General features: G+C 36.1%; 1 protein-coding gene and 1 long non-coding RNA gene across 7 annotated transcripts in view; one reads left to right on the top strand and one right to left on the bottom strand.

Moving 5' to 3' along the window:
* The window catches only part of DAOA-AS1 (DAOA antisense RNA 1), a 46,627-nt gene that overhangs the window by 14,586 nt on the left and 6,530 nt on the right, over positions 1-25,511 (top strand). Inside the window, exons 4-5 of the long non-coding RNA NR_040247.1 lie at positions 1,079-1,320; positions 24,676-24,909. This is a non-coding gene — a long non-coding RNA (DAOA antisense RNA 1). The remainder of the gene's footprint in view (positions 1-1,078; positions 1,321-24,675; positions 24,910-25,511) is intronic.
* On the bottom strand, positions 62-25,229 carry DAOA (D-amino acid oxidase activator). 6 transcript variants are annotated; one of them, NM_001384645.1, is made up of 7 exons: positions 25,036-25,051; positions 24,764-24,880; positions 23,955-24,089; positions 18,411-18,558; positions 16,026-16,119; positions 904-1,195; positions 62-184 (listed from the first exon to the last, which is right to left on the bottom strand). In NM_001384645.1, exons 5-6 carry the CDS (start codon positions 16,097-16,099, stop codon positions 1,015-1,017), a joined length of 255 nt encoding a protein of 84 aa, NP_001371574.1. In that variant the 5' UTR covers positions 16,100-16,119; positions 18,411-18,558; positions 23,955-24,089; positions 24,764-24,880; positions 25,036-25,051; the 3' UTR covers positions 62-184; positions 904-1,014. The 6 variants fall into 6 exon arrangements, with proteins under 6 accessions (NP_001371574.1, NP_001155286.1, NP_001371573.1 ...); NM_001161814.1 differs by lacking the exon at positions 16,026-16,119 and having other exon boundaries at positions 25,036-25,229; NM_001384644.1 differs by having other exon boundaries at positions 23,955-24,043; positions 24,764-25,051.

Below are 25,511 nucleotides of genomic sequence, written 5' to 3'. Positions count from 1 at the left end.
AAATCATCTGTGTTGTTTGACAGTCACGGGTAGATAAATCATATCACTAACAAAAGTCAGTTGTTAAAACTTGAAGCACATTTAATAAAAAGAGAGATTCTCCCAGTCACACAGGCCAGGTGGGTGCATAGAAATGGCATTTTATCACTTACTGACCAGAGAGTTGCAAATACAATCCCATCACCTAAAAACAAGGAAACAAAACAATAATAAGAAAACTTTTTTTTTTAATTTTTAATAGAAAGTCAGTTTTGCTTCTGAGTAGGTATTTTAAAATAAACTTATGGGTTCTTTTAACTTTTTTTGCTTTACCTTACTAGACACTGAGTTATTATTTTTTGAAGGAAAGTGAATTATAAATCAGAAATTATTTTCTCTTTTTGTTAATAACCTTAGGACATAAGAAATACATATTTCCAGAGGAATTTATAGAAAAAATAAAAGTAATGCTTCCATTATTAGTATTCTCCCTAAAACTATAGTTAGAAATTATAAAAGTAGGGAAGGGTCCATCAATAGTATTGATTGAAAATGTAATGTTACATGTATCAGATACATAAATCCATAAATCCATAACAATGGCAAAGGGAGACATCATTACTATTTGGATAAATTAATATACTTGAATATTTTCCCACATAAATTCACTAACTATTCAAAAAACTTCACAGGACTTTTGAATTTCCGTTGTTTGTTTTACTGATTATGACAGCTCACAAAGCAGTATGTGTAACTTTCAATAATAATTTAGTGATGAAATATTACCAAACAAGAGGAGAGGATTTTGATTACCTATGGTATTAGTTTATATCATTGTGTAACAAATCTTCATAAAAATATAATTCATAAAAATTATATTTCATAAAAATATTCATAAAAATATAATTTTATAAAACATATTACCACGTGTTATCAGCTGGGTCCCAGACACAGAGTCCGTCAGAGTCCAGTGAAGATGTTGGCCAGACTACATTGTCATCAGAAGGATTGGCTGGGAAGAATCTGCTTCCAAACTCATTCAGCTTTGGTAGAAGTTATTTCCTTGTGGTTGCATGACTGGTCTTTTTGCTGGTTGTAGTTGCAGGTCCACATTCGTTCTAGAGGCTGCCTGCGGTCCTTAGAGGCCTCATAGGCAAGGAACTCATAGTTTCTTGCCATGAAGACTTTTCCAACATGGCTGCTTACTTCTTCAAGCCTGTAAGGAGATCCGGTCTCAGTTGGCCAGGTCTTGTGAAAGGTAACCTCATCACCGGAGTCAAGTGTCATCACCTTTCCCATGTTCCATTGGTTAGAAGTCCCAGCTCCTGCCCACATTCAAGGGTAAGGGGTTATACAAATGTGTGACCACCAAGAAGTCAAGATTATGTGGGTCACTTAGGGTCTAACTGCCACAACTACATATTTGGATATAATTTCAAAGAAAGACTGTGAAAAAGCATAAAGAATTGTAGGAATTGCCTGAGAATTGAGGACGTTCATCTGCAATGCCTGTAAGGCTTACATTAAACAAGTCTAGCTTACTGAGAAAGTTTTAAAAAATGGGTTTGTATGACTTTACTTATTGGGAGAAGCCATTTGACTTGTCTTTGAGGGGAAAAATAATTTAAAAATACAGATATACTCTCTCTGCAAAACAATTCCTGGAATATGATCTAACAGAAAAGCCCAGCAGACCTGATTCAAACCTGATGTGAACACAGAATGCTTTGAAATGAGTAAATTTAATTATTAAACCTAATTTTTCAGGTGAGGAAACTGAAACACTGGGGTTAAGTATCTTTTGCAGGGTCACACAGCTAAAGAATTTTGGAGCAGGAATTCAAATTCAGGCAGCTGGCTTCAGACCTCATGCTATTAAACCTGATATTAAACTTGACATCCATCTTACATGCAAATGTTACTCTCTCTATCAGGAAAATAACGCATTTATAAAAGCCAGCTCAGATGTTACTTCCAACCAACAAATTTCCTGGACACACTAAGTAATAGAGTTAATCACACCGTCCTGTAAGTACTACCCACAGTATCCGGGCTCTACCACATTGTAATGCAATAGGTGTGTTCACACTGTTTGTCTCTCCTGGTGAATCGTTAATTCATCAGAGCATGACTGTGTTGTGTGTCCCATTATCCTTAGTAAATAATGTAGTGCCTTGTGCATAGGAAGAAATTAATCTTGATGGCTTTCAAGTTCCACCCCAAACAGTCAAGCCATGTTGATTGAAAAGTATCTTCTCAGTTTGAGAGATTACCATCAGAGTATTTGAAACAAGATTGTATCCTTGGGGACTCCATATTGAGGACATTTTCTTCATAGGATTCTAAGGTCTAATGACTTGGCCTGATCCTAACCTAATCCTTTAGAAGGCTAGAGAATAAAATTAAATATGTTTTTCACTTTTCCAGTGGAGTAAGCAGGGTTTTATTGTGCTTCTTGAATCATTGTCACACTAGTAATCTCTTCAAAAGCGAATTTGTTCTGGAAAATAATGGGTTAGAGGCCTCTGTGGAGGAATACAGTAGTGGAATATTTTGAAATAATTGTAAAGCAAAACAGATAATTGCGTTTTTAAGCTCTTTGAAATATATACGTAAGATGTTATGTGCCTGAGGTTGAACAAAAAGATAAATAGTTACAGTCATTACCCAATAATGTACCAATTACAAATAGCATTGTGTGTACATGTCCTCTATTATAAAATCAGAACGGGATGAAAAAGATTATAATCACGTTAATAATTTGATTTGCTTCATTCATCTTTTGAGTTATCTTTTCATAAAATTAGATACTGTGTTATTTCCTTCTGGAAAGTACAATGGTGCATGTGAGGAGAATGTTTTCATGTTAATCAATGCTGACAAGAATATTACACTTAAAAAACACAGAAGGCAGGCAGGTTGGGGGTTGGAGGACAGACAAATGAAGAAGACCAGATTGAAATTATTAGTTGCCAGAAATATATCTATTGACTTTTTACATTTTTAGAAGTACCTCTGTTAGCTTCCCAAAATACAGCTGTTTACAGTGATTGATAAGTTCCCGTGCTTTTAAGCTTATTCACATCCATTAGTTCTGCCTTTTTCCCCTGTTAAAAATCTGAAGCTGTCACATTGAAGTAGCATGATCAGCTAATGTTCCTGCCAGATTCAAAGCATGTCCCCAGGGGTGGCAAAAGTATTCAAAATCTCAAAGAAATGGCTTTTTAAATGTTGCCTGTTGACATTGGTCACTCCATTTGCTGTATCAGAAATGTTGAAATAAATATCAGGCAATTATAGAAACAGGACTTTGATGATCAATTTTCTATAAATATTTTATGTTTAGCCCAAACAAAAGAAGGCATTTGGAATTCACTATTTTGTATAAAACTTTTATTTTAAAATAGTATGTAGTATATTTTCAAAATTGGTTAATTAATTTTCTAGTTTTCACTTCAAATAATGATTATTTACTCTATTCCCTCTAGCATTAGATTATTTTCTTGCAAACCGTTTTTTTTTTTTCTTTTTTTCTTTTTCCTGTAATAGTTTTAGAGTTTCTGCCTTAACACATTTAGGTATATTTTGTAGGAACAAAGGGAAAAGGTATCAGGGAGAGGAAATGATTTCTAAAATGTAAATTCCAAAGACAGGGAATGTTAAAAGTGTTTGCCAGTCCTGTTTCTTACAGAGCACAGAACTCAGATGCTCTTATAAAGATACAGGATAAATCACATCATTTCCTGCTCCATCATCAGAATATTATTATATGATTTAGATCACTTTTTTAAAAAAGAACATGGACTTAGTACAGAACAACAGCAAAAGCCTGGGGAAGGAGAGGAGTGCACCATGAGGAGTCAATGGGGAGCAGAAGCCAGTCCATTTGACTGATTTGGTTCGTGTGCAAAATAATTGCTAAATAATTGCATATATGTGAGACTCCGGGTATTTTCAAAACCAGCTGGCAAAATTGTGTTATTCTCTACCCTCTGCTGGCTTTCACGGGTTCTCTGTTCTCTCTCCTTTTCCTCCATTCTCCTCTTACCCTAATTCCTGACCACTGTAATCCAATAATCTAAGGTTTTAGGATTTGGATGACTAAGGTTACCCATGGAATTGTTTGGAAATGTAGACCTGTAATGGAGAGGGGAGAAAATGAAGAAATAGAAGCTGTACGAAAATAGTCAATACTGAGGCCAGGTACCGTGGCTCATGCCTGTAATCTCAGCACTATGGGATGCCGAAGTGGGCAGATCACTGGAGGTCAGGAGTTTGAGACCAGCTGGGCCAACATGGTGAAACCTCATCTTTAGTAAAAAATACAAAAATTATCCAGGCTTGGTTGTGGATGCCTGTAATCCCAGCTACTCGGGAGGCTGGGGCAGGAGAATCGCTTGAACCTGGGAGGCAGAGGTTGCAGTGAGCCGAGATTGCGCCATTGCACTCCAGCCTGGGCAACAAGAGTGAAACTCTGTCTCAAAAGAAAAAAAAAGAAAGAAAGAAAGAAAATAGTCGATACTGAGACCTGGAAACTGAGAGCGTTCATGAATGCTGCATCCAAAGAATATTTTGTACTACGTCTTATTCATGATACAAATCAAGCAAATAAGCACACTCTGTTGTTCACATATGACACTATATAGGTCAACGGGGTGAGAGAGCCACCCAGAAACAGACACACAATTTTGTTATCAGATATTCTGGAGAGGTTTCTCTGAGGCAGTGGCATCTGAAGAATATACAGATGTTAACCAAATGAAGCAGGTGGGTTTGGGGAAAAAAGTATTCCAAGGAGAGGGGCAGGGTGTAGGACAACTAAAGAGCAAGGGTGATTAGAATACTTTGATGAAGTGAAAAAAACACTCCAATGAGTGAGCGCGTATGAAGAAAAGGGTGGAGAGCAGATTATTGAGGTCCATTTAGATCATGTTTTAGATCCTGGACAGCATCCTTAAAATAATAAGGAGCCACTAAAAGTTTGAAGAAGGGCAATGACATGTTCCAATTTGCTTTTTTACAAGATCACTCTGACTTCTGCCTGGAGTAGCATATAAAGGGACTAAGCACGATACCAGGTGGCACATAGGAGCTGAAGTGGCTCTTGTCAAAATAAGGTGATGGGGATGGGAGTGGGTTTGTTTCCTAGGCTGCTACAACAGAGAACTGTGAATGGAGTAGCTTAAAATAACAGAAATCTATTCTCTCCCAGTTTGGGATGGAGGTTTCAGCAGGACATGCTCTCTCTAAAGACTTTAGGGGAAAATCTGTTCAATGTCCTTCTCTTAGCTTCCAGTGTTGCTGGCAATCCATGGAGCTCCTTGCTTGTTGGAATATCACTCCATCATCACGGTGTTCTTCCTGTATGTCTTCACCTTCTCTTCTCCGTGTATGTCTGCCTCTGTACCTCTTCTCCTCTTCCAACAAGGACCCCAGTCATAATGGAATAGAGCCACTCTAATGACCTCATTTTAACTGATTACATCTGCAAATATCCTATTTCTAAATAAGGTCATATTCATAGGTATTGCAGATTAAGACTGCAATATATCTTTCTTGGGGATATAGTTTAACCCCAAACAGGGGATTATTGAAAGGAAGTGAGATAAGGGTTAGTGGAAAGAAACCATGTAAAGGTTTTAAAATATATTTTTGGTGGTAGACTCAACAGGACTTCATGATTAAGTCTGAGTTTAGGGATGGAAGCAGAGTCGTGGTTGACTTCCAGGTTTCTTCCAGATGATGATGCCATTTGTTGAGACACAAAATCCAACGGATCAAGTAAGTGGTGGGTTGAGCATGGGTTCATTTTTTTGACATGCCAAGTTTGATCTGTCTGTGAAATTTTTATGTGGAGCTGTAGATTTGGTGGTTAAAAATGCCTTTGGAATTCAAATGAGAGATTTGAGTTGGAGAGATAAGTGTGGGAGTCATTTCTATTCAAATTATCATCAAAGCTATGCAAGTAGATAACTTTCCTCAACCAGATAATGTTTAGTCAGAATAGAAGAAACCTTGACATCAACATTAAACATTTTAAAGAACAATGTGGACTATTTCAGACTAATATGAACAAAAAGGACCAGACTAACCCTGCCATAAGAAAAAACAAACCGTCAAGAAACAGACAGGACATTTGAAACGATGGTTTTAGAGACAAAAAACATCAGGCAGCCAAGGACAGAAAAATAAGCAAATACATTGATCCCAACAATTGCCTGAGATTACCTAAGTTCAGGTAAAAGACAATATTGTCTGCTTTCAATATTTCTATTTAATTTGATATTGAAATTTGAATTCATAGTAGTAAGGCAGCAATAAATAAAAGGCATCCAAATTGTATAGGAGGAAATAAACTGGTTTTATCTGTAGACAATATCATAAACTATATAAATAACTATGAAACATACAAAAAGGTATAAGAGCTAATGCATGATTTTAGTGAGGTTTCAAAATTCAAATTTAATATATAACATTAAAATCACTTGATACAAGAGCAAAGAACAATATGTAATTGAATTTTAAAAAATTGTACTTATAATAGCAAAAAATATAAAATATTTCCAGATAAATCTGACAAAATTTGTGAAAGTTTCACACAGTTAAAAATAGAAAACACTAAGGAAAAATTAATGATTACCTAAATAAATGCAGAAAGATACATTTTTAATGGGTTGGAAGATAATATTCTTAAGATGTCAGTTGTCCCCAAATTCATCTATAGCTTCCCTGTAATCCCAGCAAGCTACATTGTGGAAATTGACAAGCTGAATTTAAAATTCCTATGTAAACGCAAAAGAATTGTTACAGCTGTAACACTTTTCTAAAAGAACAAAACTGGGAATAAGTATATTTTTAAGACAGTTATTAGCATTAAGATAGACAAATCAATAGGATAAAATAGAAAGTAAAAAAAAAATAGACCTATACATATATGGACAACTGATTTTGGCCAAGGGGCAAAGGAAACTTGTTGGGAGAATAGCAATATCATATTTTCAACAAATGACGTTGGAACATCTGGGTATTCATTACAAAACGGTTAATCTTTGATCCATATTTAAAATTTAACTCAAGTTGAATTATAGATGTTGGTGTAAAATCTTTAACTATAAAACTCATGGAAGAAAACATATGAGACTAACAGTGTCAATTAGCGTTAAGTAAAGATGTATTAGATGCAACAGAACAAAACATGATCCATGCAAGAATAAATGTGATAAACTGGACTTCATAAAAATTAAACAATCGCAACAACAAAAAATAACAAAGAAATGAAAAAGAGCTTCTGCTCTTTAAAAATCATTATTAAGAAAATTAAAAGACAATTCTCCATGGTACACAAGAAAAGATTTACAAAGGTTATATCTAATATAAGATTTGTATCCAGAAAGTATAAAGAAACCTCAATGTTCAATAAGAGAAAAAAAATAAAAATGAGCAAAAGCTTTAGCAGACCACTGAAAAAAAATGGGTAGAGAATATGCATATGAAAAGATGCTCAATATCATTAGTCATTAGGAAAATGCAAATGAAAGCATAACAAGATAGCACTGCCCTCTTTTTTAAAAGTCTAAAACTAAAAATGCTGACCATATCAAGTGTTGGTGAGAATATGGAGAAACTAGAACACTCATATCCTGTCTGTAGGAATGCAAAATGGTTAAATTACTTTGAAAAACAATAATGAAGCAGATTCCTTAAATAAAGGGTGATCTATCCAACTACTATTAGATCTATTCAATTGATCTAGGTATTTACCCATGGAAGTAAAAGCATATCTTCATTATAAGACTTCTACACAAATTATCACATCTTTACTTACAGCAGCTGAAACCTGGAAACAACTCTAATGCCCATCAACAGAGGAATGGATGGATAAAGAAACTGTGATGCAGTGGAATACGACTCAACGAAGATGAGACTAAAAATAATTATACTGAGTAAAAGAATCCAAACAAAATAGAGCAAACACTGTGCCATCCTGTTTATACCTTACTCCAGTAAATGCAAACTAATACACAATGAAAAAAATTACTTATTTGAGAACTGGGGAGAGGAAGGAGAGGGAAAGGGGTAGATAAAGAAAAGAGGAGAGATTAAAAGGAGCATAAGAAAACCTCAGAGAATAATAGGTTTGTGGTAAACATTACCGTGGTAATGTTTTTAGGGTATATTCACATGTAAAAACTTATCCAATTATACATTTTAAATATGTACAGTTTAGTGTGTCAGTTATGCCTCTGTAAAGTTGATTTTAAAAAAAGTTCCTATTTCCAAGTTCACAATTTCATTTGAACTCTTAAAAACTGGCCAGGAGCAGTGGCTCATGCCTGTAATCCCAGCACTTTGAGGAGCAGAAGCAGGCAGATCACGAGGTTAGGAGTTTGACACCAGCCTGAACAACATGGTGAAACCCTGTCTCTACTAAAAATACAAAAAGTAGCCAGACGTGGTGGTGGGCACCTGTAATTCCAGTTCCAGGAGGCTGAGGCAGGAGAATTGCTTGTACCTGGGAGGCGGAGGTTGCAGTGAGCCGTGATCGCACCACTGCACTCCAGCTTGGGTGACAGAGTGAGACTCCATCTCAAAGAAAAAAAAAAAAAAAAACTTACACCAAGGTCAAAGCAGAGGAGCTGGCAAAAGAGACTGAGAAAAAGAGCAGAGTGATAGAGAATAAGAAATGAGAGCTCCCACGGAAGCTAAGGGCAGGAACCACACAGTCCTTCCTCATGCTACTTAGAAGTTAAAAAAAAAAATGAGAGTTAAAAAAGGCCATTCGTTTCAGAAGTAACATTATGGACTAATGAAAAGGAATTTAGTTAAATAAGGCATGAGACAAAAGAAAGTAGGTTGACTGAGAAATGATGAAATAGAGGTAGCAAGTAATATGGTTTGGCTGTGTCCCTACCCATATCTCATCTTGAATTGTAGTTTCCACAATCCCACGTATCATGGGAGGGACCCTGGGAGGTAACTGAATCATGGGGGCAGGTCTTTCCTGTGCTGTTCTTGTGATAGTGAATAAGTCTCATGAGATCTAATGGTTTTATAAAGGGGAATTTTTCTACACAGGCTCTCTCTCTTGACTGCTGCCATATAAGTCCCTTTGCTCTTCCTTCATCTTCTGCCATAATTGTAAGGCCTTCTCAGCCATGTGGAAATGTGAGTCAATTAAACCTCTTTCCTTTGTCTCAGGTATGTCTTTATTAGCAGTGTGAGAACAGACTAATACAGCAAGTATAAAAAACATTAAATGTTTGTCTTCTAAGGGAAGAGAGGAGAGTAGAGAGAGAGAGATTGTTAGCTGAAGGGTAAAGTATTCTTGTTATTAAGATATCAGAGCCTAGAACATATTTAAATACTGATGAGAAGGATACAAGGGAGAGAGAAAATTTGAATCAATAGTTTGTTTCCACTACCACAGAAAAGGATGAGATCCAGAGGTTTGATAGAGGAATGAGTTTTCCTCATTGGAGAGATAAGAGCAGATGGGTTTGAATGCTGGATCCTAAGGGTGGGATATTAAGGGAGTCTGTTTTTTATGGCTTTTATTTTCTCTTTGATCTTGGCAGCAAGGATGTCTGCCAAGATTTAAGGGTTTGGACAGGAGGATCATAGTTTTAATGAATAAAAACATATATGAAATAGCCACTTCAGAGAGTGGGGCAGACAGTATGTGTTTTAGTTTAGACCAGAGTCCCTGGAGTTATAGGGGTTTGAATTCAAATCCTAGCTCCTCCATTCACCTGTGGTACTGTGAACAATGACAGAACCAAGTTAAGACCCCAAATCTTCTTTAAAGTGGGATGATAATGGCATGTTCACCATAGACTTCTTGGGAGTAATAAATGAAATACTTTAGTTCAACTATTTTCACAGGTCCTGACACTGGGTTTTGAATAAATTGTGCCCAGGACTATTGCTATTATAAAGCAAAATGAAAAAACACAATGGCCCAATTAATATGTTTCCAAGGAGTTCAATACTAAGAAGAAAAGTATTGTTGGAAATGGAAATCCACATTACTAGATTAACATGTGGAGAACTTGCTCAAAGAGGAGGCTGGTTTAGATGCTGTGATAATTTTAGATGTCAAATGGACTGGATTATGGAAATACCCAGAGAACTGGTAAAGCATCATTTTTGGTGTTTCTGCGAGGATGTTTCCAGAAGACTTTGGCATCTGCGTCAGTGGACTGAGTGAGGAAGATCCCTCCTTACCGTGGGCAGGTGCCGTCTCATCAGCTGATGGCCCAGATGGAATAAGATAGAGGAAGGAATATGTGTTTCTCTCCTTCTTAGGGCTGGAACTTACTCTTCATTCCCTGCTCTTGGACAACAGAACTCCACTTTTTGGACTCTAGGTATTACACTAGCACCCCACTTCCCATAGCCGAGTTCTTACTCCTTAGATCTTGGTCTGAGAGTTACACCATTGGCTTCCAGGGCCACACTACTCCATGCCAGGATCTCCAGCTTGCAGATGGCTTGTCTGGAGGCTTTTCAGTCTCTATAATCACGAGCCAATTCTCCTAACAAATGCTATCTATCTATCTATCTATCTATCTATCTATCTATCTATCTATGTATCTATCCATCCATCCATCCATCTATGTATCTATTATCTATATCTATCCTATTGGTTCTATCTGTCTGGAGAACCCTAATACAGATGCCAGCAAACCAAAACCAAGTGGCAAATGTCTACCATTGACATTCCTCTCCTTCCTTAATGACTCTTAGGAACCAAAAACACATGTAAAATTCCATGTAATACACAAGCCAGAAAAGGTAAAATATTGTATCTGCTAGTTCACACAGCTCATTTCACTACCACAATCTACCATTATTCAAATACTGATTTAGAAAATGACAGCCTCCAAAAGACTAAAATCATCAGTTTTTACTTAGAAGAAAAAGAAATGAAATTTTAATGACAGGGAATTTTAATCTTACTATTTCAATTTATAAGATGTGACTGGCTGAATATTGTTATGTACTAAAATGATAAATACTATGTGTTATTAAATATTTTGTCATTGAAAAATGACCTATTATTCTGACCTATTTTATTTTCAGGGGTACTTTTAGATAAAGGAGTTTATAAAGGCTTCTGCTAAAGAAGACATCAGAGAAAATGTCTTCCAATTGATTTATCTTGCTTTGTTTCTGAGCATCTTGACTCCAACTGTATTGCAATGAAAAATAATTTTTTTAAATGGCAGAGACTCTGATTTGTCCTATGCCCCTTCTTCTAAATTCCAAGAGTCTATGTGAACTCTTTCTATGAGTTTCTTAAAATTCACGAAAGTAGTCTCTACTGGTTTAAATGGTGTCCCCTCAAAATTTATGTCATTTCCAGAACCCCAGAATGTGCCCTTATTTGGAAATAGGGTCATTGTGGATGTACTTAGTTAAGATGAGGTAATACTAGAGTAGAGTGGGCTCTACATCCAATATTGCTGGTGTCTTTCTAGGAAGAGGAGCAGAGCCACAGGGAATGGTGACCATGTGAAGACAGAGGTAGAGATTGACTGATGTGCCTGTCAGCCAAGGAAGGTGGCGCATTGCCGGCCACCATCAGGAAGTCGGAGAGAAGCCTGGCACAGATTCTCTGTCCAGTGGGAACCAGCCTGTGTGTTAATTTCAGACTTCTACCCTCCAGAACTATGAGACAATAAATTGCCTAAAACTGTTTTAAGCCACTCAGTTTGCAATAGTGTATTATGTCAGCCCTAAAAAGCTAATACAAAGCCCTAGAGAATTTCAATAAAGGTGTCAGGAAATATAGATCACAGACAATAATGATAGGACCTTCTAGCATTCTTACACTTCTGTAATGTTTGTTGCTCTTTCGGTCTCTCCTATTTGCTTTTATTGTGATTGGCAAAAATCCCTTGAAAAAACCAAGAAACAATACGAACAGAAACAAAGCTATGTACTTGTTTTGGGAAGCAACCTCAAATGGAAAGATGGGGGCTGTGTTCTAAAAGGTGAGGAGAAATTTATAGCGAAGATAAAGAGATAAAGATAAATGGTCCTGTGCACCACTGAATTCTGAGAACTCTGAACAAAACCTAAGTATATGTTAGTGCCCAGTGAATAGTTGTTGAATGAATGGATGAATCAACAAATAAATGAATTGATGAGATAATCAATCTGTGAGACAAAAAGCAACACAAATGAGTAGACAAGAGTGGGTTAGTTTGGCTAAAAATTGAAGATCACCCATTTTTTCAGCCAAGTAGGCAGGCATCTGCTATTTGCCAGGCATGGGTATTGGTGTTTGGCATAATGAAATAGCAAAACAAAGTCCTACTGTCAGGGAACATAGACTCTTGGAATTTAGAAGAAGGGGCATGGGACAAATCAGAGTCTCCGCCATTAAAATAAAATTATTTTTAATTGCAATACAGTTGGAGTCAAGATGCTCAGAAATAAAGCAAGATAAATCAATTGGTTTAAAATATCTTTCACACTACCCTTCCATGGAAGGTGCAGAGAAGGTTCTAGTCTAAATGTAGGCAACTGGAGACTCCCTTTTCCTATATTCCTTTAAACCCTATGCCCCAAAATGTGTAATCAAGTCTATTCTTGAACAGAAAAGAACACAGTGCCCTTTCTCTTTGGAATTTTATATAAGCCCCTAAGAAAAGCTGCTATTGTCCTAGTTTGTAAAAGTACAAATGGGTGAGTATGCATCTGCTCTGTTCAGTTGGAAAATTAGTACAGGTTTCAGCACTCCTCGATACCAATTGACTATTGAATGCGTACTAAGGGAAGCTTCTGTACAGACCAGTAAACCACACAATTGCAGAAATCCTCTAATTAAAGAAACACACCATAATCTTCCTGGTGAATCTGAAGAAAAGGTTTTTTAGAAAAGTACATCTGTATAAGGTACATTTGTGTAAAAAACAATCATTTTTCATTGAAGTGCAGCTGTATTGTTAGATGTTGTTCTAAGAAAACTCAGCTTAAAATTTCTTATAGGCTGCTTTGGCTTAAAATAATTGCCTAACTGGATGGTCACAAATGACCAAGAAACCAAATATATTTCATAGTATTAACTATCATTACAGAGTGTTAAATAATACTGCACAGTAGAGATCTTTTGAAAAATATTTTAAATGATAGATTCTATTTTGGTTTGAGGCAAAGTCTTAAACATAACAAGTTAAATAAATTTTTAATGAAATTTTACAAGTGAAATAATTAATGTTCAAGACATAGAATCATGCCTTTTGGAAATGACTCTCATGATATTCTATTATTTTAAAAACTATGTGCCTATTTTTAGGAATTAAATTGCTCTGGTAGATACCCGATAAATATCTATCTCACAAATCATGTTTTTCTGTCATATGTAAATTTTTTAAATGTTTTAGTTTATAGGTTGTTTGGCTCTGTCACCCAGGCTGGACTGCAGTGCTGTGATCTCGGCTCACTGAATACTCTCCTTTCTGGGTTCAAGGGATCCTCCCTCCTCAGCTTCCCAAGAAGCTGGGACTACAGGCATGCACCAACATATCTGGCTAATTTTTAAATTCTTTGTAGAGATGGCATCTAGGTTTCCCTGGTTGGTCTTGAACTCCTGGGCTCAAGCAGTTCCCCTACTTTGGCCTTCCAAAGTATGGGATTACAAGCATGAGCCACTATGCCTGGTTAGTTTCTAATTTTTACATTCAGTTTATTTTTATGTGACTGGCATTTGTGTAGGATTATTTTTATAACCAATATGTTTTAGGTATGTAACCCAGAAGTAAATCACTAATTAATCTGCACCGGAGGAAGTATAATTTAGGGAGAGTAGAAACTCTATCTGATAGACTGCACTGCAGGTAAGGTGTCACAGCCTTGAAGCGCCTCAGTGACTTTGGGAAAAACAAGCACCAAGACTGACCTTCCAGATCCAAGGTCTGGTAGCAGGATGGTTTTCATTTCCATCTGTTGGAGGTCTCAGCTTCTGACATAAAGGCCTGCTTTATACAAAATGAGCCTGATTGAAAGATGTAAGCCACCAGGTTAGAGGGAGAACTACAGGAGGCAGACAGGAGAAAGTAAGAGAAGAGTGACGTTGTTCTTCCACTAGCTTGTGGCTACTAACAAATTTCATCAGAAAGTTGCTGAGGATTCCTCAGAACAATTTACAGAGATAACTGTAAGCTGCAGAGGGCTATGAAAACGCTCATGGGTGCTGACAGGAGCCCCTGGTGGCTGGTGGGTTGGGAATACAGGGGCTCTGTAGGGGGTGAAGGAACTGTGCTTGACACCAATCAATGGGAGCCTGGAGAAACTGAGGCAGGGACTGGAATCGTGCTGAGACTCAAACGTTTTGAGTTAGAGTACTCACCAGGTACTCTAACTCAATCATATGCCTTGGGTATAAGGAAATTAGGAATAATTGGAACTGTGGCTGGCCCCAAATTTCATGCCCTATTTATAGCCATTCATCAGATTTAGAATGAGGTAAAGGAAGGATTCTTTTTATTATTTTTTAAAATACCCACCTCATTTTTTACACCCACATCATAAATCACCGAGAGGGAGAATTAGGCCTGTGGACCTCCCTTTTTGTAGTACCTCATATGTAATTTTTTTTTTTTTTTTTACAGATTCATGTTTTTTGGTACAAGTGAACGTTTTATAACGAAAAGGCTTTTTTGTTGTTGTTTTTATTCTCTATAAAAATACCTCTGGGTGAAAATTGTTAAGAAAGCTAATTATTGTATCTTTACATGACTCTAAATTTGGTCTATTTAAAAAGTCAAAACATAGACATTTGGAAATGACTTTCTCCTTTCAGTACTGAAGTTGAGAGGGAGAAGGAAAAAAAGTGAGAAATTCCAGTGCCTGGATGTTCCCAGGCTAATTTCTAGACAAGTGAGTTTTGATAAGTTCAAGTTTCAGATGAGAATTTCTTTTTTCTTCTCTCATTGGTTTTCCCACATCGTGAGTTAAAATGTCTCTGAAAGAGTCTGAAAAAATATATATATTAATGTGGAGAATTATTTACATAAAATTTTAATAAACTAATATGAGAATGAGACCCTCCAATAAATATTGTTTAGAGTTATTTTAATAGTCCTCTCCCCTATCATAACCCATTTAAAAATGTGGGTATATATATATGTGTGTGCATTCATAAAAATTTAGTGTGCAGTTCTTAGTTTTTCTTTATGCAAAACACACAAAATAAATGTGAATAATTGAAGCCATTACACAGACATTTTTCCTGCTAAGTTCTGTAAATAGATATTCCAATAAAGACACTACCAACATCTTACTTTGTCTTAAATATAATTGAGAGTATTTCCATATTAAACTTTTTAAATAAAAATGATTGGATTTCAAATTGCCTTAAAGATTCATAATGTAATATTCTTCACCCTAAATCACCCAGATTATTTCTAATTGTTTCTTTATTTTGCCTTCATAAATACAGCCTTTGATTAATTTAGCGGAATTTATCAATCTGAGATATTTTTACCTTCCCACATTACAGCATGCCATGGAATGAAAACTTACTTTGTTGCTCAAATGTATCAAACACAGTTTCTGTGGTCAAGTTCCTCTCCTTTTCTAAATTTGCTTAGAGGATCTCATAAAACGTAACTCCTCTGACAAGAGAACCATTTTAGCACCAACACTGCAAAAGCTTCTGTGTTCCTAAGGGAAAGATCCTTTCCTGAATTAAATTTAACCTCTTTAGTACTCCCATTTAGCCACCTGATAAATCCACTTGAGCTATCTTTTGGGAAGAGAGAGGTATCTGGGAACAATAACACTTCCTTTTTGAACAGTTTAATAAAGCTTTGTGAGATTTCAAGATGAAAGATAATGTGTAATGCTGATAGTGCCCTCCAAGGCTCTGCATTCATGGATCCAATTACGTTTTTTGTCATGGTAAAAGCCACAGTGGATATATTAAATGAGAGTGTGGTTTAAGAATGAAGGCCCAGGAGTCTGGAGATCTGGTTTCTAAGGCTGACTTCACTTCTGCTTTCTTATCTCACTAGGGGTATGCAGCTTAACATCTTTACCTCAGTGTCTCCTTCCATAAAGTGCCCAGCAAATATCTGAGAAATTCTTTTAAAATGACAGTGCAAATTGCCATTTAGAATCACCTTGGAATGTCTAGAAAAAAATGAGGTGAATGTTCGTTCAGAACGGGAAATACAATCTTCTGCTTAATTTCAGATTTATCATCAAGTTTGTCTTTTACTTTTTAAAAGTCATGAGATTTCCAGAAGAGGAATGACATTTTCAAAGCCTTAAGGACACTTGTGAAAACACTCCTTCAACTATTCTTTATTTCTCACCAAAATTTTGACTCTGGCTTTTCTCCAACTTCCTCTCTTCCCCAATTCCCAATTCCAACTTGAAAAGAGTAATTGCAATCTTAACTTTTTCCATTCTGGAGTATTTTCTTGCAGCCGATTTGTTTCATATAATTGTAAATTTATGCATGTCAGATTTTGTTTTAGATGCACATTTGCTGGCTTTAGTCAGTCAATCCCCAAACCCTTAAACTGATTAATTTCACCGTGAAATAATTGATTACGAATTTGTAGCATTATCTGACTTTATTTTAAAATGCAAGTTGATAGAACATTGTCATTTATTGATTAATCTCTTGCCCTTTGCCTTGAGATAATTTTGAAGAAGCAGAATAGTGCCATTAGTAAGACAATATCTATGTATTACAAATGATCATGTTCTTAAAATACACACGCACACACACACGCGCATGCACACACTCACACTTTCTAGTAATAAGCAGTGTTTTGAGTAAAATCTTTTGAAAGATGTTTAGCAAATCGAAACAATTTCTGTCTTCCTATGTGATGCCTGCAATTATATGGTTTAGATATTTATTGAAGGACTTGGGAAACCTCATAGTCCCATTGGCATTATTCTCAACATATCAAAGATTCATTCAGTATAAATAAATAATTTCATTACTTATAATAATAAAAGTTATCATGGAAAATTTTATAACCTAGTAAATAGGATGTCATAGAAATATTCAACACGGATAAATAAAATATATACATAGTTTAAATTAGAACACCTGTTATAGAATGGTACAGTCTAACTCTCTGGCCAGGTAAGCTTCTAGCATGAAACTTCACACAATCATACCTACAATATGTTCTTGCCTAATTCCTTGTTCCAAAGGAAAGTTTGATAAGGAAGTTGAATAATTTAGCTTCCTTTTAGAGATGGTAGAGCTTATTTAAGTAGCTTTCCTGTAGTACAAAAAGATTAGGCAGCTCTGATTGGAACTCTAGATTGAAAATGAGTAGAAATAACCTCTTATAGAACACGTCTAAATTTAACTTTGCTTCACACCGATAAACTATAGCCTCTACTACTTTATAGACAGATTATAGCTCATCAGTAGGACTAAAAATCACTGTGGAATTACTCTGCAATAGTCCTGTTGCTATGTCTATAAATATAATTTCAGTGAGTGACTTTTCCATTTTCTAGCTGCTTGGCTATACTTTTTTTGCGTGGCAAACTAAAGGGCTTTAGGAATATGGTAAATGACAAATTTAAATAGCCTCAGATAAAACATGAAAGTCAACATTAAATTATTTGGTTAAACATTATTTTCAGAACAATTTTAAAAAATAATATTTTGCAACTGATTTTAACTTAATGTTTATACTATTCTAAAAAGGTAAAAAAAATGCAATGTTGCTTATTCTCGTTAAGCCTAACATGAAAATAAAAGCATTATTTAGGGGAAAAAGTCCCATTTAATTATGTGAACACATAATTAAATAATTATCATAAGAGGCAAAAAAAGATAGATAGCATCAGATATTGTAGCTTGGTAGAGCTTCAGTACTAGGGGGTCAAACAGTGGAAAATAATCTGGGAAACAGTTTTAAGTGTTTTATATTTAAAACACCTACACACACAAACACACACACACACACACACACTCTCACGTAGGCAGTGTGAAATTTACATTGTTCCTTTCCCATGTTATTGTTGTGTATGGGCAGGCTTATTTTTCACATATTTCCCTCTCAATAGCCTTGAGGTTCTAAAGAGAGACACAACATTATCACCCAAGATGCTTGACAAAGATGGGTATTTTGAGGGTGATCCAGATTTACTGATGATATGAGGCCTGGAAATCTGAAAATTTAACAAACTTTCCTAGTAATTTTTATAAAAAACAAAATTCAAGAAAAACTACTGCATGAAAAAATGTGAAGAAGCCAGTGGATACTTTTAAAAAAGTGTTAAAATGGTTCCTATGTAATAGACAAATAATCTCTGAGCTAGATAAAAGTTCAACATGAAGTATAATCTAATATTAAAAAGCCCAGAGAAGTTGCTTTCGTAAGTTCCAACATTAGCATTTAGCTTTCTCCTGGTTAAAAGTTTAAAATGAAGAAGATACATACTCTGCATAGGGCTGAGGAAGGTAAGAGACCCAAGGACATAATGATCTCTGTAAATGCCTCTGTGCCATTTCCAAATAGCCGTCCTCATGCCTTCTCTTCCATCCTTCTTTCCTTGTTACCGTCTCTCTTCCTTCTTCTGTCTCCTTTGCTGCAACAGTATTTAAGTGGATATATAATACATATTAACTCTATCACATCTTTTAACATACATGTTGGTTTAATGACTGTGGAGCGATTGTAGGAATTGTCCATTTTACTTAATTTTTCAGAGGTTTTTGGTTAAGACAAAATTCCCTCAGAGACTCAAATGTCATCTGTTGATTGAAATATACATCTGTGTTTTGAGATTAAGCCCAAACGAAGGGTGGCTTCTCTCTCTGGATCGGACTATACTTTGAGTCATTTAGTTACAGTAAAACAAAAATATCAAAATGGCACGAAAAAATTAACTGTGGTGCCTAATTCTTTGTTCCTCATGAAATGGATTGCCTATACCATACTTAAATAACATGTGCATAGCCTTTCCAAAGCTCCAAACCTCACGATGAAATAGTCCTCTCGTCCCTTCCCTGTGTGACTGTTGGGAAGATTCCTTTTCCCTGTCAAGGGGCCTTTCCTCCGGTGTTGACCACAAGGTAGTTTTTTGAGGGGATCTTAAGTTGTATTAGTATTTTATGAGTTCTTAGATAGGGTTAAATAATTCCTCTTACTTTGGCGTGGAAAGAGAATGGAGTGTGATAGTGAATGTGGGAAAAAGTTGTGAAAGACTGTGAAATGAGCTGTAAAGATTACTAAATCACCTGACTAGCAGAGTCTTCCAAGATTTCTCTGCCTTTCATCATCTTTGAGCTATTTTGCAACTTTGTAAAATTTTAAAAATATGATATAAATGCAATTGACTTTCTTCCAGAAAAATGCAAAGGAGTGTCCAGTGAAAATGCTAAGGATTATTGCTCTGTGAATCGACCAGTTTTACCTGTAGATGATTTTAAATTTGCCTTTGAATTGGTTGTAACATCTTATTGTTTCTCTTATTAATCAAGTAAAATCTTTGATTCATGTTCATGATACATCTGTATGAGCTTACCATGTCTTTAAATGCCTTATCATGTTAACATAACCTACTTTCTAGACAAATAGCACTCCCTTTCTTATTTTCAAGTAAGTAGCAAACACTTATTTGAAATTCTGAGCCCATCAATTTATTTTTTATATGAAAGGATGAACATTTCCTAGAAGCCCTCTTGGTATCATCTAGGTAAACTTCATATCAAATCTGTGCTAATATGTTATTTGTCCTGGAACTGGTTCTTAGTCCAAATTTTATACCATTTATTCGACTCATATCCTTCACCTTGATCAATATAAAGTGCATTTGCCACACATTCGGTTTGACCAATATTATTCTCTGTATAGTGGCTTTAACTCAATTATCAAACTGTATTTTAAAAATTGAATGGCCAGGTGTGGTGGCTCACATCTTCTATAATCCCAGCACTTTGGGAGGCCAAGGGGGGCGGATCACCTGAGGTCAGGAGTTGGAGACCAGCCTGGCCAACATGGTGAAACCCTGTCTCTACTAAGAATACAAAAAAATTGGCCGGGCACGGTGGCTCATGCCTGTAATCCCAGCATTTTGGGAGGCCGAGGCGGGCGGATCACAAGGTCAGGAGATCAAGACCATCATGGCTAACACGATGAAACCCCATCTGTACTAAAAACAAAAAATTAGCCAGGCTTGGTGGTGGGCGCCTGTAGTCCCAGCTACTCGGGAGGTTGAGGCAGGAGAATGGCATGAACCCGGGAGGCGGAGCTTGCAGTGAGCTGAGATCGTGTCACTGCACTCGAGCCTGGGCCACAGAGCGTGACTCCATCAAAAAAGAAAAAAGAAAAAAGAAAAGAAAACAAATTAGCTAGTTGTGGTGGTGTGTGCCTGTAGTCTCAGCTGCTTGGGAGGCTGAGGCAGGAGAATTGCTTGAACCCAGGACGCAGAGGTTGCAGTGAGCCCAGATGGCACCACTGCACTCCAGCCTGGGCAACGGAGCAAGACTCTGTCTCAAAATAATTTAAAATAAACAAATAAATAAAAATAGAATATTTTGGTTGGGTGTACATGGGTGAGCTGCTTTATTTTATGTATGTAGAATTTCTAAAATAATTGTGCTTTTACCGTCTAGCTTCTATAATTTATAAATATGTAATAAATAGTAGATAATGTTAATGAGTGTGTTGTTTGGCATTTTGTTAGTTGGCTTAAAAATGAGAATGATAAAAAAGGCATGGTATCAGGGCATTTTAAAATTATTAGCCATGGGGGTAAAAAAGAAAAAGGAAAGTGAGACAAGTTGCCAGCATGGCTACACAGAGAAATTCCAGTTTCCCCAAAACTGGAAAAGAATAGCATTTTATATGAGGACAGTGTGCTTAATACATAACAAAGATAGCTGCTATATATTAGAAATTATGTTTGTTATTCCTTAAGCAGTTATTTTTAATCTTGATAGTTTATTCTGGTTAGATATATAACAAGAATATAACTCTAGTCTCTTCTTGCAAAAAAAAAAAAAAATTCCAATGAGCAAGATGATTAATCCAGTAAAGAAACATGTCCAGCCTGGGGACAAAAAAAAAGTAGATCAAATTTTGGTTAGGAAGATTAACCAAGTAAAAATCCATTAGCTGGAATTTATTGTAAAAGCCAATAAGAAATCATCCAAGAAATAAAAAACTAAAAATAGCCCTCAATATGGAATAAAAAAAGACATAGAGTGATTCTCTTTGCATTCAATAGAGACTGAGAAAACACAACTGTCAGAATATTAAATATTGCTTTGGAAAGTTTGGAAATATGATGAAAGTAAATTAGACAATTGCTAGAAAAATATCCTTCAGTTGGTTCCCCACACATCACAAAATTCAGCTTGATACCATTTTCTTTTTCTTGACAAATTTAGGGCTTTTATTAGTGCTATGACAGAAAGAAGGAATGCTACCAAAAAGACCATTTGAATTTACTTTAATTATTTCAGAGTAGGGAAACGATAATTGGAAAGTAGTTTATAACCTTGAGTTTGTAAAATCTGTAAACTCTCACAACGATGTGAAGGCAGAGAAAGTATCAAACTCAGTCCCCTATAATAAGCTCATTACTTCATAAAATATATATCCCCTTCATCTATGTGTCAGAAATGTTTAAAATTTTCACCACTGGTACATTATTTTTGGGCCTTACATTTTTGTGGATTTGGTGAATACCTGAAAGAAATAAAATAGGATTGGATAATGTGAATTTCTTTTACACTCATTGTCATTATTAGAAAATAAAGCCCAAATAAAATATGACAGAGCAGAATTAGTTTTAATACAGGAAAAATTTGCAAGTTGAAGAGGAGAAAATGCAGCCAGGAACTAACGGTACACACCTAGGTGGTTAAGACAGTGTGGATGGTGATAAGAGAACATAAGGAAAATTCTGCCCTCCAGCTACTTTGAATTTAGTGTTCTGCCTAGTATGAATATTATTGAACCCTATGGTATGGTACTTAACTATCTAATGAGATGATAACTCTCTCCTACCTGTAGAAAATGTAGATGCCTTGTCTACTTCTGCTTATATACATGCTGAAACATACTGATGTCTGCTGTCTTCTTAATTTTACACTAATTTTTAAAGTAAAGATTGATTTGATAAAAAATATGCACTTGGAAAAATTATTCTGCTATTCCCACATTTCATGTTCATGTCTATTTACAGCTAACAAGACTAGCACGCAAATAGATATATGCTCCAAGATCTCGCTTCTTTTCATGTCTGGCTTCTCCCTGTTTACCCACAATTATTTTCATAATATTTTACTGTGATTCCACAAACCAGAGACAAATCTCTGAAGGGAATAGTGTTCCAAGGCATGGCCATCATTAGAAGACAATAAGCTTGTTTTCCTTCCAACATTCTTAGCTTTGTTGAAGGCTAAGTGGAAGAAATTAACATACTGCATGCCTTTCAATGAAAATTGTTTCTAATTATTTTGCTTCTCAAATTATTCCACCAGGCATTGATTAGACTTTTTAAATTCATTTCATATCTGTCACTCTCAGCTAACATTTGTAATTTTTTAATTGTTGTTAAAGAGAATCTATTAATTGAAATATAATTATCCTCTTTAATAAAAGTAAATAAAATTACTTGGGTAGCCAACATATTCAAGTAATCATCAATCTTGGTCAGAAATTAAAAGTAAGATGAGCATCTAAACTTGGCACTCAAAGACTGACCATCTGCACCTTTGAGGCAAAATAAAATTCAGTTTAGGAAAACCTTATGAAAATCAATGTTTTAATTATGCTATCAAGGGCTGTGGTAGGCAGAAACTTCTTTGCTCCACCCCCCAAAAATGTCCAGTTCTTAATCCTGAAAACCTGTGGAATCTTGTGTAACAAAGGGACTTCATAGATGTAATTAATGTTAACGACCGGGAGGTGGAGAGTGACCTCGGTTATCCTGGTGGGTCCAAGGTAGTCACAGGCATCTTTATAATCAGTGAAGGTCTCCCTGCTGTGCTTAGAGAGGGGGATGCTGGAAGAAGAGTGGTCAGAGAAGCAACATTGCTGACTCTAAAGACAGAGGGCAGGCCACGAGCCAAGGCATGCAGGAGGCCTCCAGAAGCTGGGGCAGGCAAGAGAATGGACTCAGCCCTGGAGCCTCCAGAAGGCATGCAGCCCTGCCCATTCCTTGCTTTTAGCCAGGTAAGATGTCTGTCAGCCTGATGAGAACTATGAAATAATGAATGTGCTTGTTTTTTTCACCACTAAATTTGTGCTTATTTGTTATAGCAGTGATAGAAAACTAAGACAAGGCTATATCTTGGCATGTCAGATTTTAAGTTATCTGCTATAGTGTAGAAAAGCCCAGAGAAGGAGCTGCAATTTGTCTCTTTGAAAAAAAAAAAAAAAAAAGGATCACCTTCTAGGGGATTAAACATTAATGGGCTGGGTGTTGTGGCTGACACCTGTAATCCTAGCACTTGGGGAGGCCGAGGCGCTGCTGCACTCCAGCCTGGGCAACATAGTGAGACCCTGTCTCCAGAAAAAAAAAAAAAAAAGAAAAAGAATTAAACGTTGACAGATTATTAAGTGAGGCACTGTGTGAGACCTAGCTTGGGTTTGCGCCTATAGATATTTAAAAGTTGATCCAGGTTTTCACTTGAAAGCAGAACTACTGCCTTAAATTCCCACTTCACAAAAATAAATCATGGATTGAGGGAAAAATTTACTTGTTTGCTTTATAAAAAGAGATATCGATCTCTTCATAAGTTATATATGTTTTACAAGGTTGCACTGTTTGAACTGTAAGTGTGAATGGTTGCTAACACTCCAGAAACCAAGAGGTACATTTTAACTGGAAAAATTTTCTTCCTGTATCTTACAAATTAATTGAAGTTTGTCTACGCTTGAAAATATGTCAAAAGTATTATGTAGCTTTACCACAGTTTTATCTAACTTCTAGAAGAATTTAAATTCATATAAAGATAAAGAGTAACATACCAATAGAGTTTAGAGAGTTTTCAGATTTGCTCAGAAGAATGCTCCTTTGAAAACCTATGAAGTAGATTTTACCCAATGTATATCTGGATCTAAAAATTAAAGAAAATATCAGTCGTGTTCAGATTCCTTTATACCCTGCAGAAGAGAGAAAGAATAAGCAACATCAATGGAGCATATAACATGTATGGTTTAGCACTTTCATATTTTTAATCTTAACTATTCAGCCAAATACGTCTTATTTTTTTATTTTTATAGATGAAGATATTGAGGTTTGCATTTTTTTTTTATAAATTGCTCAGTCATACAGTTGGTAAATAGCTGACAGGAGAGTTCACTCCAGGTCTTACTGGCTCTCAAACCTTTGCTTTTTAAAAATCTCCAAACTAGCGCCTCTCCCTTTTAACTGCAAAATAAGCACAAAGTTATCCCAGTTCTACACAGTGCTAAACAAATTCCTGTGAGCAAACAATTAGCACAGGCAGATGGAGTGAGGGGGAGGTGGTTTATAACAATGGAAAGCTGTCTGCCTGCTGTGGATTAAAGATTCAAACTCTTTGATCCTCCTCCCAGGGATAGGTGAGGGCCTATGTCTCCTCCTCATTAACATGAGTGATCCTTGGCTAGGTTCTCCTTTGACTGACAGAATATGGGAGAAAGTAAGGCTGAACCATATACTGGGCTCAGGCTTCCAACCCTGACATGTTCCACTTCCTGTCTCCAGGAACATTCACCCTGGGAGCTCTGTGCTGCCATGCAAATGTCACATTGCACTGAGGCCGCCATGCTGTAAAAAACCCCAAGCTACCTACCTGAAAAGCTGGAGAGAATCAGCACCCATCAGCTTTTCCAGCATTTTGGGTCCTCCCAGCTAAATCATCGGCATTGTGAAGCAGAGATGAGACCTCCTGCCATGCCCTTTCCAAATCCTGGACCAACAGAATCATCATATACACTAGTAAGCTTTTACTTTAAGCCACTAATTTGGGGTGTAGCTCTTTTGCAGCAAAAGATCATCAGAACACTGCCATGCAGGAGCTGATAAACTTGCTCACTGTTATGTATGTATCCAATGACTACTCACACACACATTACTTGCTTCACTCTACTTTCTGGCTTTCCATTCAGCAAATTTTAAGAAATGAAAATGTTATTCGTGGGAAATTAACTCAAGATCAATATTGTTGTAGTTAATCTCTTTGTAAATGGTAAAATATTAAATTATTGTGAGTCATTTTTATTTAAAGAAGTTTGGTTCTTTAAATGAAAGAAGTTTGGGTCTTTTGTGGATACTCTGCATATAGACATTCTAGACATGAAAGAATGTTGAAGACAAAGAATGTTGAAGAAATATAGACATGAAAGACTGTTGAAGTTTGGTTTTTTGTGGATACTCTGCATATAGACATTCTAGACTGGAGTGATACATCTTGTTCAGGTTTCTATGTTTTTAAAATGATAACTTGACACGCCTACCAATGCCAATTTTTAGGATATATATTTGTATATCTGTGTGAACTAAGGAAAATTCAGGAATGATTAAACCTACATATTTTGCCA

The sequence above is a fragment of the Homo sapiens genome, chromosome 13, assembly GCF_000001405.40.
Source record: "Homo sapiens chromosome 13, GRCh38.p14 Primary Assembly".
NCBI lineage: Eukaryota > Metazoa > Chordata > Mammalia > Primates > Hominidae > Homo > Homo sapiens.
The sequence above is the reverse complement of the archived record's forward strand: the minus strand, read 5'-3'. Positions and strand labels throughout refer to the sequence as shown.

Excerpts from the sequence above, each read along its gene's own strand:
- DAOA (NM_172370.5), bottom strand. The coding sequence starts at position 24,807 with ATGCTGGAAAAGCTGATGGGTGCTGATTCTCTCCAGCTTTTCAG. Across the intron at positions 18,559-23,954 it reads AAACTCTCTAAACTCTATTG|CAAAGGAGACAGAAGAAGGA; the intron begins GTATGTTACTCT and ends ATACTGTTGCAG. Across the intron at positions 1,196-18,410 it reads CTTCCTCAGCCCTATGCAGA|GCTTGAAGAAGTAAGCAGCC; the intron begins GTATGTATCTTC and ends ATCTCCTTACAG.